The following is a 20,064-nucleotide window of genomic DNA, read 5'->3' as shown; positions in this document are numbered from 1 at the left end:
AGCCATCATGCCTGGCCTGGGTTTTTTTTGTTTTGTTTTGTTTTTTTGAGACAAGGTCTTGCTCTGTCGCCCAGGCTGGAGTGCAGTGGTGCGATCTCAGCTCACTGCAACCTCCACCTCCTGGGTTTAAGTGATCCTCCTGCCTCAGCCTCCCGAGTATCTGGTACTACAGGCATGTGACGCCACACCACTCTAATATTTGTACTTTTTGTAGAGATGGGGTCTTCTTATGTTGCCCAGGCTGGTCCTGAACTCCTGGGCTCAGGCAATCTTCCCACATCGGCCTCCCGAGTACTGGTATTCCAGGCGTGGCCCCTGGGCAGCTCAGGGCTTTTTACCCCCAAGAACCTCTTACCACACATCACTGACCACACACTCTGGGGACCAAGTGCAAAACTGCGTTGAGGACCGTCCCAGCCATTTTGCAGGTGCAGAAGCCCCTGGGGTGAGCCCAGTGCGTGGAGATGCCGTGGCACAGGTCCTAGCCGTGCCATGTCTGGTCTTCTTGCCCAACAGAAACTCACCGAGATCATCCCCAAGTCAGCCGTGGGGGAGCTGTCTGAGGACTCCAGCAATGTGGTCCATCTCATTAAGAATGCTTACAATGTGAGTCTCCCGCACCACTCAGCTGGGACCCATGGGGTGGCCAGCAATCTCCCCACTGCAGGTCAGCTCCTGCTGCAGGTCAGCAGGAGGGTGGTCTGGGAGGAAAGCCCCTGCCCCGTGGGCCAGCTGCAGCCTCCCGACCTGCCCTCAGGCCTCCAGGACACCCTGGCCCGGCACTTCCACGGGGAGCTCTGGGTCCTCTCTCGTTGATGTTGTGGGCGATGCTCCCTGAAACCTGAGCTCCGGACTCTTCATTCCAGACTCTTCTCTGCGGGTCTCTATGGAGAAGGGAGGTGGACAGCTCTGGTGGCAAACAGTGCAGCTGGGGCAGGAGGAGGCCACAGGAAACCCCCACAGTGGACTTGGGCCCTGGGAAGACACCCTGGGGGGTGGAATTCCTCTTGCTCTGTTCACCTGTCCTGGGCAAGCTCCAGAGAAGCCCTTAACCCCTGAATTTCTCCCTGGTGCACGGCCCATCGAGCTGCACCCTGGGCTGCTCCCCTGGGGAGCCCATGGCCCTGGTGGGCATAGGTAGGCATAGGTGCGCACTAGGTGCCATTCAGGGCCCCAGGCACCAGAGGTCCCGACTGCTCTGGAAATCTACCCCCAGGTGAGAGATGTTCTCAGAATTCTGGCCTGGATCCTTCTAGGCCAAAGGTCCTGCTGGCTTGAGGGAGCTCAGCACGTTAGCGCCTCCGACAAACGTTGGGTCATTGAATTAAACTGAAGGCCCGTGGAGGAGGTGCCATTTGCTTCTCGTAGCCTCCCGTGAGCCCCAAACCCCCAGAGCAGACCCTCCTGGGTGCCAGCCACTGCCCGAGGTGTTTCTGTCCTTACACAGAGGATGCAGGTGACGCCACTGCCCTGGCCATTCACCCGATGCCCCTATGAACCTGTCCCTCTGCCTCCTCTCAATTTCCGTCTGTCTCTCAGTCTTTGTCTCTCTTTCTCTGTCTCTCTCTGTCTGTCTCTCTCTGTCTCTGCCCCATCTCTGTCTGTCTCTGTCTCTGCCTCTCTCTGTTTCTCTCCATCTCTCTGTCTCTGGCTCTGGCTCTGCCCATCTCTGTCTGTCTCTGCCTCTCTCTGTTTCTCCCCATCTCTCTTATCGCTTGAACAATTTATGCAGCTCCTGCCCTGTGCTAGGTCCTGGGGACTCAAGGCTGAGGAGCAGCAGAAGCTCCCACCCCTGAGGCTCACACCCTGGCTCCATGCTAGTCCCTGTGGTCAGGCTGTCTCGAGGGCAGGACTGTGGCCCTGGCAGCCCTGCCATCCTCAGCACATCCTGCTGTGCTCTCCTCTGTGTCATTAGCTGACACTGGGGACTTGCACTGAGAGGAGAAGTGGAGACGGGTCTAAACCGCTGGGCCAGGCAGGGCCAGGACAACAGAAACACTCGCCCCCAAGAGTAACCGCTCTCTGCCCGCAGAAACTCTCCTCCAGGGTCTTCCTGGATCACAACGCCCTCCCCGACACCCTGAAAGTCACCTACGACTCCTTCTGCAGCAATGGAGTGACGCACAGGAACCAGCCCAGAGGTGACTGTGATGGCGTGCAGATCAATGTCCCGGTGAGCCTGGCCACAAGGGTCCCCATCCCAGCTTGCTGAGGGGCTCTGGGGACAGCCAGAAGGAGCCAGGGTCCCCATCCCAGCACACTGAGGGGTCCTGGGGACAGCCAGAAGGAGCCAGGGTCCCCATCCCAGCACTCTGACGGGGGCAGGGAGGGGCACACAGGCATCAGAGGCTGTCTGGGAGCAGGCAGCATCCACTGGAAGGACCCTGTTTCTTTCCTTCACATCCTCTCTGCCGAGGCCAGACGCTTTCCTTGTGAAGCTGATGTCAGGAACGTCAGTGAGAGGGTGCCGAGAGGGTGCTTCTCAGTGAGAGGGTGCTGGGAGGGTTCTTCACACACGCCTTGGCCCCCAAGAGTCCTACTCATCAACCTGGAGCCCAAATCCCTGGGTCAGGCCACTGCAGACTGAGGGATGGAGTGATGGCTGCGCCCCCTGGGGGCAGACGCCGGACACACAGAACAGGCGCAAACGGCAAACCTGGGTAGGGTTAGTTGTCATGATTTTCTGCGTGTTTCATTCTGTTTTTTTGACAGAAACATTAAGGCATGGGCCACACAGGTGGTTAGGAATGGACACTGAGTTCCTTCTCTAATCTTTCAGGTTTAAGTTTATTATCCAATCATTTGTTGTTTCTTTTTGTTTTTTGTTTTTTGTTTTTTTTTTTGCTAGCTGTGAAATAATATTCAGCAAGACACTTGCTTTCATTGCATTTTCTTAATATGACTTTGGAATTCCTTCAAACATGTTTCTTGGTAAATGTTGCCTGTGGATTTTTTTTTTTTTTTTTTTTTTTGAGATGGAGTTTCGCTCTGTCGCCCAGGCTGGAGTGCACTGGTGCGATCTTGGCTCACTACAATCCAAGTGATTCTCCTGACTCAGCCTCCTGAGTAGCTGGGACTACAGGCGTGTGCCACCACGCTCGGCTAATTTTTGTATTTTTAGTAGAGACAGAGTTTCGCCATGTTGGCCAGGCTGGTCTCAAACTCTTGCCCTCAGATGATCTACCCGCCTCGGCCTCCCACAGTGCTGGGATTACAGGCGTGAGCCGCGGCGCCCAGCTGTCCCATGGATTCTCACCAGAACGTTTCCCTCATGTTGGGTGGTCTGAGTGGGAGTGTGCTCAGCTTCTCCTGATTTGCTGTCTGCGTGTCACATGTCTCTGCTGATGTGTGGCCGGGGAGATCCTGGTGCCGGCCAGTGCGGGAGTGCGGGCAGAGCACCTCCTTGCCGGCTGACTTTGGCTCTCGGATCTGAGCATCAGCTCTTCCTGCTCCTGGTCACCCCTTCCTCCCCACGCTGAACCCCCCAGGACCCCTGCAGAGGCCAGGAGGTGAGGGTTGGGAGCTGGGCTGCCACCCTGGCCACCGAGGGTCCCCACCTGAGCCCAGCACTGCCCTGCAGATCACCTTCCAGGTGAAGGTCACGGCCACAGAGTGCATCCAGGAGCAGTCGTTTGTCATCCGGGCGCTGGGCTTCACGGACATAGTGACCGTGCAGGTTCTTCCCCAGTGTGAGTGCCGGTGCCGGGACCAGAGCAGAGACCGCAGCCTCTGCCATGGCAAGGGCTTCTTGGAGTGCGGCATCTGCAGGTGAGGCGGGCGCAGGTCCCTGTTGAACCATCCCCGAGCCCCACCCCACAGGGCAGGTGTCGGCAGGTGAGGTGGGTGCAGGTGGCTCCATCCCTTCCCCCACCCCACGGAGCAGGCATCCTGGGGGCCCCCTTCTGCAGGAGGTGGGGAGATTTGGGATTGGAACCCAGAACCCCTCGGCAAGCCCTCACCCGTGCTCCTGAGCCAGGGCACCAGCAATGCCAGCCTGTACTCTACACTCTCTGGCCATGGAGGACCCAAGGCAGGGGACTTGTGGGCAGGAGGACCCCCTCACCAGAGGATGGAGGCCCATCTCAGGGGCACAAGGAGTCCCCGCTGGGCGTGCCCATGGCCTTGAGTGGGTCACTTTCTCTGCCCGACCTTCCTTGACCCTAGGAGCTGGCTTCTCTCTGACCTTGGGGACCCAAGGCCATCAGGCTGGCAGCCCTGGGGCATGGGTGGCTAGAGAGCCTCCTGGGACAGGTGATGGCTTCTGGGAGCCTGGGCCCCATAGGCCACCTCTTGGGCGTGCACACCCCCTGCCAGGCGTGGGCACCCCACCTCAGGGAGAAGTGGGGGACAGGTGGACCCAGTGGGGAGGTTCACATGGCACTCAGCCAGGCGGCCTGCCCGGGGGCTGGATGGCTGTCCCCCTTTCCTTGCTTGCCTGGCCAGAGCTGCTAGGCTGACCTCCCAGGACTCTGCCCCCTTTGCTCTGGTCACCTCCTCCCCTGTCCTGACCGCAGTGCCAATCCACGTCCTGGTGGCAGTGCCCTTCCTCACCTTCAGGTCCCTGCTGCCCCCAGCCTCCTCCCATATCTCAGGACAATGATGGTCTCTGTGGTCTTGGTGGTCTCTGTTGCTGTCCTCGTGCCTCAGTGGCCACCCCGCCCACTGTCCTGGGTGTGCAGCCCTGGGGCGGCCTCTTCACGGGACTGTAGGGGTGACTCAGTCGGAACACTTGGCAGGTGTCGGGGGGTGCCCTGCCACAGGTACTCAGACACTCGGTCCTGCAGCTTCCTCCTCTGGGGAGCAGGAGAGCCCGTGGCAGTGCCGTCTCTGAGGATGCCTCAGGGTGTGTGTGGCTCCTGCCTGCCAGCGGCTTGATGCCAGCTTCCACATCTGTAAAAACCCCTTGTCCCTGCATTCTCCCACAACCTGGCCTGTCAGTGCACGAACGCAGGAGGGAGGGCGGGGCTGTGGCAGGAGGCAGTGCCGAGTCCCCACTGGCCACCATGTGGGGCACGCAGGAGCAGACACCAGCCACTCACAGAGCACCGGTATCGCAGCACAGGCCATGTGCATGGCTGCAACACAGCTCCACAGTGAGCCTGCCGAGCCACTGCATGCGCAGGCCAAGGCCAGGTGTCTGCTTTCCCCTCGGGACATCCTGGGGAGGGAACGCGGGGCCCCTGCACGTTTTGAGCACATTTAGTCCGTGGCAAGTGCTCAGTAGGCCTCGAGGAAAGCAAAATGTGCCATAGGGGTGTTCTCCACCAAGGGCAAGGGGCCTGGAGGACAGGGCGGCTGTCCCTTGTCCCACATCACTGGGGGGAGCCTGACCTTGGGGCCCCTCCTGTCCCCAGGTGTGACACTGGCTACATTGGGAAAAACTGTGAGTGCCAGACACAGGGCCGGAGCAGCCAGGAGCTGGAAGGAAGCTGCCGGAAGGACAACAACTCCATCATCTGCTCAGGGCTGGGGGACTGTGTCTGCGGGCAGTGCCTGTGCCACACCAGCGACGTCCCCGGCAAGCTGATATACGGGCAGTACTGCGAGTGTGACACCATCAACTGTGAGCGCTACAACGGCCAGGTCTGCGGCGGCCCGGGTGAGCCCGTGGGTCCCTGCTGGACAACGGCCGTCCTGCGGCACAGACTTGGTGTTGGGGGGTGCGTTCTGGACCATTCAACGAGTGGAACAGAAAGGGGGGATCCTGAGGACAGACAGTGCAAGTCTCGCCCAGCCACCGGGCGTCAGCAGGAACTTGGATGGCCCTGCACCCCGCCCTGCCTCAGTTTCTGTGTCCATGAGGACAAGGCGTCCTTGTGGGGAGGGCCCACAGGAGGAACGGTCATAGCCCTATTGAGGTCCCATTCACAGCAGGGCAGGGGAGGTCCAGACTGGCCAGGAGGCGGCCACGTGGCTGGCGGGGGCAGAAGGGCCTGGCTAGTGGCCCCATGCCTTTTGCTCAGGAACATCCCCCAGGCTGGAGGAGGCAGGCGGGCCGGAGGGAGCAACCGCAGTGGGGTTTCGGGCGGGTCTCGGTTCCCAGGCCAAGCAGGAGCTTAGCCGTGCTGCCCCGTCTTCCAGGGAGGGGGCTCTGCTTCTGCGGGAAGTGCCGCTGCCACCCGGGCTTTGAGGGCTCAGCGTGCCAGTGCGAGAGGACCACTGAGGGCTGCCTGAACCCGCGGCGTGTTGAGTGTAGTGGTCGTGGCCGGTGCCGCTGCAACGTATGCGAGTGCCATTCAGGCTACCAGCTGCCTCTGTGCCAGGAGTGCCCCGGCTGCCCCTCACCCTGTGGCAAGTACATGTGAGTGCAGGCGGAGCAGGCAGGGCGGGCAGGGATCCCCACTCCCCGGCCACCTACCCAGCAGCCGGGCTCACTCGGGGACCCCAGTGAGCACCTCTGCACCGCGGGGTTCTCTGCGGGTGCGTCTGGACTGAGGGGCCCTCCGCGGCCGCCGTGCCCCTGTGTCCCTCCTCCCTCCTGTGCGCACCTGCCGCGGGCCCTGGGATCAGGCTTCCAGTTCACCCGCTGCACCCGCATCTGCCCCACTTGGGCCCCCTCCTTGGCCTGAGGGCGCCCCAACCCCACCTGCCCCCCCTGGTGGACACACACCCAAGCCCGAGCCCCCGTTGCCGGAGCCCCCGCACACCCTGGCACCGATGCTCACACCTGGCTCCCCGCAGCTCCTGCGCCGAGTGCCTGAAGTTCGAAAAGGGCCCCTTTGGGAAGAACTGCAGCGCGGCGTGTCCGGGCCTGCAGCTGTCGAACAACCCCGTGAAGGGCAGGACCTGCAAGGAGAGGGACTCAGAGGGCTGCTGGGTGGCCTACACGCTGGAGCAGCAGGACGGGATGGACCGCTACCTCATCTATGTGGATGAGAGCCGAGGTGAGGCCGCTGGGGTGCAGCGGGGACCGGCTCCAGAGCTCCGGCTGCGGGGTCTCCGCAGAGGCGAGGGTGGTGCGGAAGGAGGATCTCACCTCCAGTGTTGTGGGCCCAGCAGGGTGGATGAGCCATGCGGGATGCCCTTGGCATTGCAAGGAGGCCAGAGGCCGGTCCCCTCACCCCCAGCAGCCTCCCCTTTCCCTCCCCTCCTCACCTGACCCCACATCAAGCTGGGCAGCAGACGGCCTGCTCCCTGGGGGCACCACTGCTCCACACCGGGCAGGCCCACCAGCATGCCACACGGCCCGGGCCATCTCCCGCTGGATGCCTCATGGGGCAAGGCTTGCAGTTGCAGGTCCCCAGGGGTGGCCCGCGGTCAGGTTGCTGCGTGAGGCTCCTTTGAGGGGATTGGGAGATCCTGGTGCTCGGCTCTCAGCCCTGGAGGGGCCCAGGGCCACCAGGCACCACCGTCCCCATCACTCGTTCGGCTCCAGTCCAGTCGGAACCAGTCCCAGCCCCACAGTGACCTTGGTGGCACTGACCCTGTCTCATTCGGCTCCAGTCGGAACCAGTCCCAGCCCCACAGTGACCTTGGTGGCACTGACCCTGTCTCATTCAGCTCCAGTTGGAACCAGGCCCAGCCCCACGGTGACCTTGGTGACACTGGCCCTGCTTCTTCAGGTCTCATGTTCCACAGGCTCCTGAGAGGCAGAGGGGCTGGGGCTGGGGGGCCGCTGGCGGACTCCATCAGGCATGGCCAGCAGCCGGCCAGGACTCTTGCAGAACTGAGACCTGGGAGCTCCTCCCTCACCAGGAAGGGACCCGAGGCAGGCGGCGGGGGTCTCTGAGCCTGTAGGTGACATGCCTGGAGCTCACAACCCACATGTGGGCCTGGGGCTGCAGACCCCCACCTGCCAGGGCAGGAACCCCTGCGGGCCACTTTGAGGGACAGACTTGGGTCACGTCTGGTTTGTGCAATCCTGGCCAAGTCACTTCACCTTTGAGGACAGGTGAAGGAAGGCAGGTCCCCCAGGAAAGGCAGGATGGCAGGAGGGGGCACGGGGAGTGAGAGTGCAGGTCAGGATGGCAGGAGGGGGCACAGGGAGTGAGGGTGCAGATCAGGATGGCAGGAGCAACCACAGGGAGTGAGGGTGCAGGTCAGGATGGCAGGAGGGGTACAGGGAGTGAGGATGCCAGACCAGGCCAGGGACTGCACTGAACGCTAGTGTCTGTCCCAGGGTCAGCAGCTGTGGGCCTGGCCCACTATGGCCCACAGTCCCCATGCTCAGGAGGTGGGCACAGCTGCCGTGGGAACCAGGACCTTGCGTTGCTCATCCTGGCACCGGCCTCACCTGCTGAGCTCTGGTCTCTGGTCTTGTCCTTGACGACCACAAATCACTTTCACAGTATGGGGAGTGAACTCCAGCAGGGACCCTGAGCCTGGTTCTGAACTCTGCTGTAGGAGAGCGGGGTCCCTCGCACTGTGTCCTACCCCCCAGTATTAGCACTCTGTCCTGGCTGCCCGGTACCCTGGCCCTGCCTTCTTCTCTGTCAGCAGGGGTGGTGGCAATGGCCCTTAGGTTTCATTTGGAACCACAGGGCCTGGCCTGGAATCCAGCAGGGGCTGGGCCAGGTTCTCACTGACCCCTGGCCATGGTGATGGATGGTGAGCCGGGGCCCTGGGAACCTCCGTCTCTCTAAGTGCTGTGTTGTGGGGTGACCTCGGACCTGTGGGCACACGGCTCAGTGAGATGGGGCTGGACTGACGCTCAGGTGTGCTGCTTCTTCCCTAGAGTGTGTGGCAGGCCCCAACATCGCCGCCATCGTCGGGGGCACCGTGGCAGGCATCGTGCTGATCGGCATTCTCCTGCTGGTCATCTGGAAGGCTCTGATCCACCTGAGCGACCTCCGGGAGTACAGGCGCTTTGAGAAGGAGAAGCTCAAGTCCCAGTGGAACAATGTAAGTGGCCGTCCTTGGGGGTCCCACGCAGAGGGGCACGTGCGTCCCACACTATGCGACCTCCTGCTGCGGGAGGCCGTGGACACCCGTGTGTGGCTGCACCCCGGCCTCCCCAGGCAGCTTGTCCTCTGGGCGTCCGCCGCTGTGGGTGAGCTTGGCTGCCGGTGCTGGGACCCTGGGGGGGCTGCCCCACGTCTAGCTCTTCCTCAAAGTGACGGCTTCCATGCGGGGAGTGTCCTCAGGGAGAAAGATTCTGCTCTGAAAACCTCCCACACTCACAAGCCCCTGTTTGCATTTCCCACCAGGATAATCCCCTTTTCAAGAGCGCCACCACGACGGTCATGAACCCCAAGTTTGCTGAGAGTTAGGAGCACTTGGTGAAGACAAGGCCGTCAGGACCCACCATGTCTGCCCCATCACGCGGCCGAGACATGGCTTGCCACAGCTCTTGAGGATGTCACCAATTAACCAGAAATCCAGTTATTTTCCGCCCTCAAAATGACAGCCATGGCCGGCCGGGTGCTTCTGGGGGCTCGTCGGGGGGACAGCTCCACTCTGACTGGCACAGTCTTTGCATGGAGACTTGAGGAGGGAGGGCTTGAGGTTGGTGAGGTTAGGTGCGTGTTTCCTGTGCAAGTCAGGACATCAGTCTGATTAAAGGTGGTGCCAATTTATTTACATTTAAACTTGTCAGGGTATAAAATGACATCCCATTAATTATATTGTTAATCAATCACGTGTATAGAAAAAAAATAAAACTTCAATACAGGCTGTCCATGGAAACTGGGCACTGTGTCCGCTGTATTCCCCCGACTGGCAAGGTGGCCAGGCACACGTGGGCCCTGTCCTGCCCGCTGACCTTTGCCACACAGGCACACAGCTGGCTTCAGACCATGGGGCAGGTTCTGTTTTCCCTTTTCCTTCCTCACCTGCTGGTCTATACAGAGCCCCGCTCTGAGGCCCTGTCCCAAATCCTAGGTGCATTTCCGTAAACGGTGGTGGCCCCACCAAAGAGGTGCCTGCGGCGGAGCCTGGCCAGGGCAGAGGCAAAGCAGGAAAGCGGGTACCTGTCTGCCCTCCCTCCAGCCATCTACACCTCCCCTCCAGCCATCTACACCTCCTCTCCAGCTCTACACCTCCCCTCCAGCCATCTACACCTCCCCTCCAGCCATCTACACCTCCCCTCCAGCAGTCTACACCTCCCCTCCAGCCGTCTACACCTCTTCTCCAGCCGTCTACACCTCCCCTCCAGCAGTCTACACCTCCCCTCCAGCCATCTACACCTCTTCTCCAGCCATCTACACCTCCCCTCCAGCAGTCTACACCTCCCCTCCAGCTGTCTACACCTCTTCTCCAGCCGTCTGCACCTCCCCTCCAGCAGTCTACACCTCCCCTCCAGCCGTCTACACCTCCTCTCCAGCCATCTACACCTCCCCTCCAGCAGTCTACACCTCCCCTCCAGCCGTATACACCTCCTCTCCAGCCGTCTGCACCTCCCCTCCAGCATTCTACACCTCCCCTCCAGCCGTCTACACCTCTTCTCCAGCCATCTACACCTCCCCTCCAGCAGTCTACACCTCCCCTCCAGCCGTCTACACCTCTTCTCCAGCCGTCTGCACCTCCCCTCCAGCAGTCTACACCTCCCCTCCAGCCGTCTACACCTCTTCTCCAGCCGTCTGCACCTCCCCTCCAGCAGTCTACACCTCCCCTCCAGCCGTCTACACCTCTTCTCCAGCCATCTACACCTCCCCTCCAGCAGTCTACACCTCCCCTCCAGCAGTCTACACCTCCCCTCCAACCGTCTACACCTCCTCTCCAGCCATCTACACCTCCCCTCCAGCAGTCTACACCTCCCTTCCAGCCATCTACACCTCTTATCCAGCCATCTACACCTCCCCTCCAGCAGTCTACACCTCCCCTCCAGCCATCTACACCTCTTCTCCAGCCATCTACACCTCCCCTCCAGCAGTCTACACCTCCCCTCCAGCAGTCTACACCTCCCCTCCAGCTGTCTACACCTCCTCTCCAGCCGTCTACACCTCCCTTCCAGCCATCTACACCTCCCCTCTAGCCATCTACACCTCCCCTCTGGCTGTGCCTACACTTCCCCTCCAGCTGTGTCTATGCCTTCCCTTCAGCCATCTACTCCTTCCCTCCAGCTATCTACATCTCCCCCCCAGCTGTCTATACCTCTCCTCCAACTGTGTCTACACCTCCCCTCTGGCTGTCTACAGAGCCCCCTCTGCCTCCCACTGGGGTACTCAGAGGGGAGGGAGCCAGTACTGCTTTAGTGGACGTGTGGAAACAGCCCTGGGCTGTGCCAAAGCTGCTCACGGCCCCAGAGCAGAATTCAGCACCAAGCTCCACACAGATCCTGCCTGAGAGCTCTGGACACAAGCAGGCTGCTGGCCGTGGTTGCAGTTGGTGAACGTCTCAGTTCTAGCACAGGAAGGCCTTTGTCCTGGGAAACCCCTTAGTTTGTCTGGGCAAGTCACACAGCTGGCCACACTGCCAGGGCCACTGCAGACCTGCAAATGGGCACATGTGGGTGGCATCTGCTTTAGGTCCCCTACTTTAAAATTGTAACTGTGGCCAGGCACGGTGGTTCACGCCTGTAATCCCAGCACGTTGGGAGGCCAAGGTGGGAGGATTGGTTGAGTTTAGCAGTTCGAGATCGGCCTTGAACCTGAGGCTGTTAAGTTAGCAGCTGTTAACTTAACAAGAGTCACACAGCACACCTGGCGACCCAGCCTTGAACAGTGAGACTCCATCTCTACTAAACATTAAAAAAAATTAGTAGTGTGGTGGCACATGCCTGTAGTCCCAGCTACTTGGGAGGCTGAGTTAGGAGGACGGCTTAGGCCTGGGAGTTGGGGGTTGCAGTGAGCTGTGATTGCACCACTGCACTCCAGCCAGGGTGACAGAGAAAGACCCTATCTTAAAAAAAAAAAAAAAAAAAAAAAGCAAACAAACAAACAAACCAAAAACGAACTTCTAACTGTGTGATAACCTCTTACTGTATATGCCTGGGAGACTTTACCTGGGCAGGTGGGAGGAGCTAGAAATGGCCAGATGCTCCAACACCGCTCACTTCCCAGCTCAGGGGTCCCCACTCAGCCTGCACCTGGGGCTTTAAAAGCCCCTGCCCTGTCGGAGAAGGGCTGCCGTGACTGGTGTTCAGTGTTCCTCGGGGAGGCTGCTGTGCAGCCAGGGTGGACACCCGCTGGCCTTGAGCCTCAGTTCCCCAAGGCTGGCCTTGGCAGCAGAACAAGCCTCACCTAGAAACCTGTCAGAGGCGCATTCTTGGCTTGGCCCTGGACCAGCTAGTCGGCAGCACTCCGGGTGGGCTCAGCAATCTGGGCTTTGCAGGTCCTCCAGGGATACTGATGCACGCTGTAGTTTGAGAACCACTAGACAAAGCTAGGAGATGGAGGTCAAATTGTCGACACTGGCTGGGCGCAGTGGCTCACGCCTGTAATCCCAGCACTTTGGGAGGCAGGCCGAGGTGGGCAGATCACAAGGTCAGGAGATCGAGACCACCCTGGCCAACATGGTGAAACCCCATCTCTACTAAAAATACAAAAATTAGCTTGGTGTGGCGGCACGTGCCTATAATCCCAGCTACTCAGGAGGCTGAGGCAGGAGAATGGCTTGAACCCAGGAGGCGGAAGTTGTGGTGAGCCGAGATTGCGCCACTGCACTCCAGCCTGGCAACAAAGCTAGATTCCATCTCAAAAAAAAAAATTGACATCAAGGTATGGTCTACAGGGGTGTGTGCGGGGTGGTGATGCCCTCTCAGGAAGGAGGGATGGGGGAGGGTGACCTCAGGTGACCCAGGCAATCAGAGGGCCTGGCCTGGAGCACGTCCGGCAAAGATCAGATGCCAGCCCTGAGTGAAACCCTCCTCACAGGGTTACTGAGAATTCCAACGCAGGCTTTGGGCAGAATTGGAGTTAGGCACTGACCAGGGTGTGGCAGGCACCACCACCCAACTCACTGCAGCTGCTAACTTAACAAGAGTCACGAGGCACACGGATCACCTGCTCCCCGTTGTTCCTACAGGTGGAATCTCTGAGCCTGGACCTTTTAAGCCAAGAATTGCTTAAGGTGTTTCCCACACCCTGAATTCCAGCAGAACAGCTGACGCCAACTGGTCTGAAGGCCCCACCAAGGAACCGACTCAGCTCAGGAATGTGGTTTCTTCATCCCCTATCCCGTGACTTCACCACTCATACTCACCAATCAGCGATCCCCACGCCTCAGACCCCATCACCTGCCCAGACCCCTGAAAAACACCATCCCCAAGCCCCTCGGGAGGTGGGTTTGAGGTTTCCTCCCATCTCCTCGCTTGGCTGCCCACGCGTCTTGGACTTTCTCTGTGGCAACTCCCTCTCTTTCAGTGTGCTGGTATATCACCATGCAGTGGGCAATAGGCCCTGAGCCAGGGTCCTAGGACACGTGCCCCTGCTCGAGATCCATCTCAGTGATTGCAGCAAGGGCCTGGATCACCCCCAGACGTGCCTCTAGCAAGACAAACTGTCAGATGCCCTCAATCCATTTTGTGATTTTTCTGACATTTTCCTGCCAGTTTTCAGAAGGTCTTTTTGACGTTCCAACCTTGTTCCAGAGAAATGAGGGGAGCTCCTGAGACATGGGGAAGAAGCACGGACTCCAAGGATGAGCCCCCCCAGTCCACGTCCAGCTCTACTTCTTACTGGCTGCCTGACCTGGAACAAGCTGTGTTTTGTCTTGTCAAAAGTATAGGTGGAGGGATCACTAAAGCTTGGCCCTGGGAGGATGCAGAGAGGCTGGCACAGGAAGTGCTTTGAGAATCATAACTGCTTGCAAGGGATGGGCAACCGGAACTCTCTGTGCCTTGGTCAAGGACAAACTCCTGAGCACAAGAGATCTCGCGTGGCACAGACCAGCTCTGAAGCCATGAAGCTGCCAACCGTGTGCAGCCCCACAGGAGTCCTCCCACATACCAGGGGTGCAGGTTCCACACCGCTGCTTAGTCCCATCATGGGAAATGGGCTGTGGCCTGTGGGCCCAGCCCTCTCTCCCTCCCTCCATGCCTCACCCCAGACCCTGCTGATCCCTGCCTGTCCAAGGCTCCACACTGTCTAGCCCCTTCCAAAGTGAGTCCAAAGTCTGGGACCTTCAGGTGCTCTCCTTGTTCTCCCCAGTGTTAAGCATCTGGTGGTTTAATGGGTTGCCAGAAGCTTCACTCTTTTTATGCAGCCTCTCTGGAAGTCACCCACTAAGGAATGTACTCATAATGACCACATACAAAAAAAATCCAACTGCACAGACACTTAACCACCAAATAAACCCGCTGGTGGAAATCCCTGGCAGGTGACTCCAATATGCACAACTAGGTGGGGACCCTGGAACTTCCCCTCTCTGGCCCCAGCCCACTGTGGCTGTCTGGTCCTGTGGACAGCCCTTTCCATTGCTCTGGGGCTCGGCTGTCATTTCTCCTAAGTTGATACCATTGTGACTGTATCAGTTTAATTCCCTAACCATCTTTCTTCATGGAAAGACATATGCACTTTTAATTCCAGACTGCTCTAAGTAATCATCCTGTTTCTGTAAAGAGTCATAACGGTTGTACTTCCTGTACAATGTGCCGTTTGGGTCATTCCTCTGAGCTTGAAGCTCTTTGACAATTGAATATGTATCTTTGGATTCCAGACATGTTAAATTACACAATGCCTCCCATTTCCTCTTTTTAAATCTTGACTTCCATGCGGTTAAAACAGGAACTGGGGTTATACCATGCATTTTTTGAACTTCTGCATTGTTAAGTTGTCCCAGAACTTAGTTATATTTTAAAATGCCATTGTGCATTGTTTAAAATGTGGTGATATTCACCGAGTTTTGGTTAATGTTTACAAACACCTAATGTCCATCAAATACCATTAAATTAGCATTGTGTGGTTGTATTGTTTCAGGGGCATAGTTCTAAACTAGACTTGTGTTTATTCTGTTTCTGCAAACTGATTTTTTTTTTTTTTCAGATGTAGTCTCACTCCGTGGCCCAGGCTGGAGTGCAGTGGTGCGATCTCAGCTCACTGCAACCTCTGTCTCCTGGGTTCAAGAGATTCTCCTGCCTTGGCCTCCAAGTAGCTGAGACTACAGGTGTGTGCCACCATACCCGGCTAATTTTTGGATTTTTACTAGAGACAGGGTTTCACCATGTTGGCCATGCTGGTCTCCTGACCTCAAGTGATACACCTGCCTTGGCCTCCCACTGTTGGGATTACAAGCATGAGCCACTGTGCCTGGCCTGCAAATGGCTTTTTAAACATCTTTTGATACAATCGAAGATCCCAATGAAGATGTAAAGTATTTGAACTGGAAGACGTGGGTCAGAGACACAGTTTGCTGTCACTAAGGTCCCTTTGCATCCACTTTATCCCTTTATGCTGAGCCTGAGCAAACAGGACAAACGTAAAAAATGATTGTAATTTCTAGAATAAGTTAACAGTTTTTGTCACTAATTTTGCCAAGATCCCAACCAGCTATTTAGCCAGTTGTTTGGAGGAGGTTTTGGCTCTGAAAGGTTGGTTTATGTGGATTTCACATCAGCCATGAATTTAGTGATGTTATTTGGTTTATCTGGGATACAGACACAGCTTTTAGTTTTACGATAGCACAGGTTACCCTCGAGCTGCGGTGAGTATGTCTAAAGCCATATGGTTTTATAATACAGATTTTCTCAGGTAAGTTTATCATTTAATCATGAGATACCTGGCTATATCTTAAGGCCTTTTGTGTGTAACTGGTGAGGGCCTCTACGTGTCAAGTAACGCCTTCAATACCCAGTTATGGCAGAAAGACAGAAGCTAAATGATGATACCAATGGAATACAGGATGAATCTGACAAGACTGTAGATGAGGAAGATTGGTGAGTGTGAAACGGTATGAAATATTTGACCTTGTGACCGGCATAACCCAAAGAACACTGTCCCAGCTGTCCCAGGGTATCACCTTCTGGTACAAGAGCCCATTTCGGAGGCTCAGTTTTCTTTGTTTTTGAGATGGAATCTCACTCTGTCACCAAGGCTGGAGGGCAGTGGCACAATCTCGGCTCATTGCAACCTCTGCCTCCCGGGTTCAAGCAATTCTCCTGCCTCAGCCACCTGAGTAGCTGGGATTACAGGTGCGCCACCATGCCTGGCTAATTTTTATATTTTTAGTAGAGATGGGATTTCACCGTGTTGGCCAGGCTGGTCTCGAACTCCTGATCTCAGGTGATCCACCTGCCTTGGCTTCCCAAAGTGGTGGGATTATAGGAGTGAGCCACCGCGCCCAGCCGAGGCTCAGATTTCTTTAGATGGGAGATGTGAATTCAAGGGTCGTCTTCTAATTTTATGGTGAAGGCTGGTCAGGAGTACCTGATAAGGTCCATAGCAGGTTGCAGAGACTTTTTAAAAAATGTCATTTCCAATAGACAAAATCTCCTGGTTGAAGTCTGTGGTCCTTGAAATTTTTGTTTCCCAGGAGCTCACTGTGAAAAGATTATTTTTGCCAATTATAATTTTTCATTAATGTTTTGCAAGGGCACTGCAATAGCTGAATATGTCTCCCTTTAATATCATAGACGTACAGTTTCTTGGAGATAATTTCATGGGTCTGCCTAATTTTTAGCAGAGATAACTGGTGTTTACCTAAAGGGGTCGACCTCTGATTAAGCAGAACCAGTAGAAGAACTTCTGACCAAGGAATTTGAAAAGCCTTGGTTAATTTTGCCAACTGAGTTTTGATTATTCCATTGGTGCATTTCACTAACCCAGATGACTGGGTGTGGTAAGCGCAATGGAAATGCTGGAGGATGGGCCAAAGTTTACATACTGATTGAATCATCCGTCCAGCGAAGTGAGTTCCTCTATTGCTACAAGTTCCAGAGGAACTCCCCAGGTTGCAATACCTTTTTCTACAGCAATTTTACTCACTGCTAAGGCAGTGCTCTTCTGCATGGAAATGCCTCTGCCCAGTGAGAAAACAAGTAAATTGTTATCAGAACATGTTTGTATGTTTCTGAGGGTGGCAACAGCATGGCATCTAATGGTCATAACTCACAAGGGCCTCGGGTAAAGGGAAATGTCCTTATAATGGTTTTCCTGGATTATATTTTAGGGAACTGTGGCAATGATTGTCTGTTTCGATCTTTGTGTTTGTAGAAAGCAAAAAGTTCCTCTTCAAAGTTTCCCTTCTTGTTAAAGAGTAAATCATAAGTGTTAAAAATAATAGTTTCTTTTAAAAACTAACTTCCTTCAAGCCTCCTGGCTTCGTGCTAATAACTGCTCGTTAAGCTCTAGCCTGTGTAGCTGTTACACTTGCTCACGGGCACGTAGTACATTCTATGTCCTTGAACCTTAACCAGGATATTTGTGCTGGACCTGCCCACAGGCACATTCCAGCTCGCAGCCTATGCCCCTTCCCTATTTGGTATTAAGCAACTTCCTCTTTTCCTTTGTCTTTCCATTACTTTTACCTATTTAGAAAAGTTTTAAACTGTTAGCCAATCGGGTTTTAGTTTAGATTGTGAGGTCTGGCTCCAGCCAATGGAGACAGGACACAGTAGCAGGGCCAAACAGCGGCAGGGATGAAAATGGCTTCCCTCCTTTGTTCAGGTGTGCTCTCGCCATTGTTCCATCTGTGATGAGCACCCCTTCTGCAGAAAGTAAAAATGGCCTTGCTGAGAGAATTAAATTTATGTTCGAGTGCTGTGTCTTTGCAGCACTTGGGAACAAGCATTCTGTTTCTAAATAACAATTTTTACATATAACAGTGTTTTAGGAACCCCTAAAGCATCTCCACCACTTTCATGTATTATACAAATAATAGAATGGAAGGTTATAATTTGTATGCCCCAAAGGCGGAGCATTAGCAAGGTCACGTTTGATCATTTCAAATGTTGGTGTATTTTCTTCTGACCACTCTAAAGTCCTGGCATGTCCTGTTTTTAGAGAGCGTATAAGGACTGAGCTTTAAAGAAAAGTTTGGGATCCAATTTCTATAATATCCTGCCAGTCCTCCACATCCTTTTGTTTCTTGGTTGTTGGTGGTGGAAAGCTAAAATTCCTTTCAGTCTATCTAGATTAGTAGAAAGTCTTTCTTTAGATATTAAGTGGCCCAAGTACTTTGTTTTTTATAAAATTGAGGTTTTTCTTTAGGAATTTTATGTCCCTTTAGGGCTGTTGTAATGAATGTATCCCATCTTCTATAAAAGCTTTGCTTATCTTCTGAGCAAAGGAGTAAACTGCCCATGTATTGTAATAAAAAATTTTTTTTAAGAACAAGTCAAAAGACTGGGCCCAGTGCCTCGCGCCTGTAATTCCAACACTCTGGGAGGTTGCAGTGGGCGGATCACCTGGGGTTCAGAGTTTGAGACCAGCCTGACCAACATGGAGAAACTCCATCTCTACTAAAAATACGAAATTAGCCAGGCATGGTGGCGCATGCCTGTAATCTCAGCTACTCGGGAGACTGAGGTGGGAGAATTGCTTGAACCCGGGAGGCAGAGGTTGCAGTGAGCCGAGGTAGCGCCATTGCACTCCAGCCTGGACAACAAGAGCGAAACTCCGTCAAAAAAAAAAAAAAAAGAACAAGTCAGTATGTAAGACAACTGTCTTTGCATCAGTTGGACTCTCAGTGTAGCCCTGAGCATGGCTGTCTGTGTGTATTGTCTGCCTTCCCAAGTAAAGGTAAAGAGAAATCAACACTTTCACACACAGAACTACTGAAGGATGTGCTAATAAGTCCACTACACTAAAGGACTTTGATCGGGGTAGCCAAGAGGATTCTTCCAGTATCAGTGGAAGACTCTGACCATATTTGATCAAGTACTGCCTTTAGTAGGTTTTGTAATTCTTCATTATTCAATAATTCAGTGTCTTCTAGGGCAATTAGGGATCGCAATTGGGTTAGATTTTGAAACTTTTTTTATGTCTAGTAACTCAGCTTTCTCATCTAATTCTAAATACGTCTTCCCCCTTTGGGAGAAAGAAACGTGGATATTGTAATTCTAAGAAGTCTCCTTTTATAAGATGGCTGGCAGCTGATAGAACCAGAAGGAAAATGTGAGTCCCTTGTAAAGGACCTAGTTGAAAAGCTATAGGCTGAGATTTACGTGCCGTTACAGGCGTATTAGTGACACCTACCCTTTGAACTTTTTTTTGACTCCAAGGAATGGAACCTTGTAACAAGATGGGATTTATTACAGAAAACACGGCTGCTCTATCAGCAAAAGCTTATGTCAGCAATGGGAACTCGTGTTAACTATTTTAAATAATTTTTATGGCCAGGCGTGGTGGCTCACGCCTGTAATCCCAGCACTTTGGGAGGCTGAGGCAGGTGGATCACAAGGTCAGGAGTTCAAGACCAACCTGGCCAATATGGTGAAACCCCATTTCTACTAAAAATACAAAAATTAGCCGGGCGTGGTGGTGCGTGCCTGTGGTCTCAGCTGCTCGGGAGGCTGAGGCAGAGGAGTCGCTTGAACCTGGGAGGCGGAGGTTGCAGTGAGCCAAGATTGAGCCATTGCACTCCAGCCTGCGCAACAGAGCGAGACTCCGTCTCAAAAAAAAAAAAATTATTTTTCCCAAAGTAGAGGCAGGGTCACACACTCGGGTATTTAAATTCTCTGGGAAAACCAGTGGGGTCCTGGTGAGCATCAGGAAATTCCTTGATTATACTTTTAAGTTCTACCTTTGACCATAACTCATGAACTAGGGCACATAGTTGTCCCCTATGAGAGACACTGGCTGTTTGAGCAATGGCCCCAAAACAGGAGGAGGAGGAGGAAGAAAGGTGGGTCTGGGCGAGGTAATTCAGACAACAAAGGATAAAGAGAAGGAGCTGAGGGAGGAGGGGGAGAAATTTCAGTAGTCTTTTTTAAATTCAGAAATTATTTTAGATAATTTTTGTTTTTCTCTCATAAATACCTTTATTAGAACTTCTTTTGGATGCTTCCAACTACCATAAAAAATAACTCTCCCAAAGATTCCGTTTTATCCTAGAGCCAGCGTTTTCCAATTGAGCAAACAAGTAAATTACCTTGGTGTTCCAATGGTACCCGGCTTTGGTCACTGAAATGTTTTTTCTCAAGTTACGTGAGACCATTTTTCTAAATATAACGAGAGGTGGCACCATAAGCACTGCACAGGAAACCAGCTGGAGTTTCCAAAGATGGGTCCTCCCTGAAGGAGAAAGACT

General features: G+C 54.6%; 1 protein-coding gene across 5 annotated transcripts in view, besides 3 other annotated features; it reads left to right on the top strand.

The window, feature by feature from the left end:
- The window catches only part of ITGB2 (integrin subunit beta 2), a 42,863-nt gene extending 33,239 nt beyond the window's left edge, over nt 1-9,624 (top strand). For all 5 annotated transcript variants that reach the window (NM_001127491.3, NM_000211.5, NM_001303238.2 and 2 more), the window contains 8 exons: nt 517-606; nt 2,033-2,173; nt 3,581-3,768; nt 5,355-5,599; nt 6,082-6,301; nt 6,682-6,884; nt 8,675-8,841; nt 9,147-9,624. In NM_001127491.3, the coding sequence (NP_001120963.2) occupies nt 517-606; nt 2,033-2,173; nt 3,581-3,768; nt 5,355-5,599; nt 6,082-6,301; nt 6,682-6,884; nt 8,675-8,841; nt 9,147-9,209 (1,317 nt within the window). In that variant the 3' untranslated portion in view covers nt 9,210-9,624. The remainder of the gene's footprint in view (nt 1-516; nt 607-2,032; nt 2,174-3,580; nt 3,769-5,354; nt 5,600-6,081; nt 6,302-6,681; nt 6,885-8,674; nt 8,842-9,146) is intronic.
- Nucleotides 13,829-13,978: an enhancer, noted in NCBI's record as "active region_18579". NCBI's record gives its function as "activates an Ori minimal core promoter by ATAC-STARR-seq in GM12878 lymphoblastoid cells {active_cell/tissue: GM12878}" and the evidence as "EXISTENCE:reporter gene assay evidence [ECO:0000049][PMID:35858748]".
- Nucleotides 13,829-14,143: a biological region, named in NCBI's record as "Sharpr-MPRA regulatory region 2317".
- Nucleotides 13,849-14,143: a silencer, noted in NCBI's record as "tiled region #2317; K562 Repressive non-DNase unmatched - State 6:EnhF". NCBI's record gives its function as "represses a minimal TATA promoter and a strong SV40 promoter by Sharpr-MPRA in K562 cells {active_cell/tissue: K562}" and the evidence as "EXISTENCE:reporter gene assay evidence [ECO:0000049][PMID:27701403]".

Source organism: Homo sapiens, chromosome 21 (assembly GCF_000001405.40).
Source record: "Homo sapiens chromosome 21, GRCh38.p14 Primary Assembly".
Lineage (NCBI taxonomy): Eukaryota > Metazoa > Chordata > Mammalia > Primates > Hominidae > Homo > Homo sapiens.
This window is presented reverse-complemented; position numbering and strand designations above follow the sequence as displayed.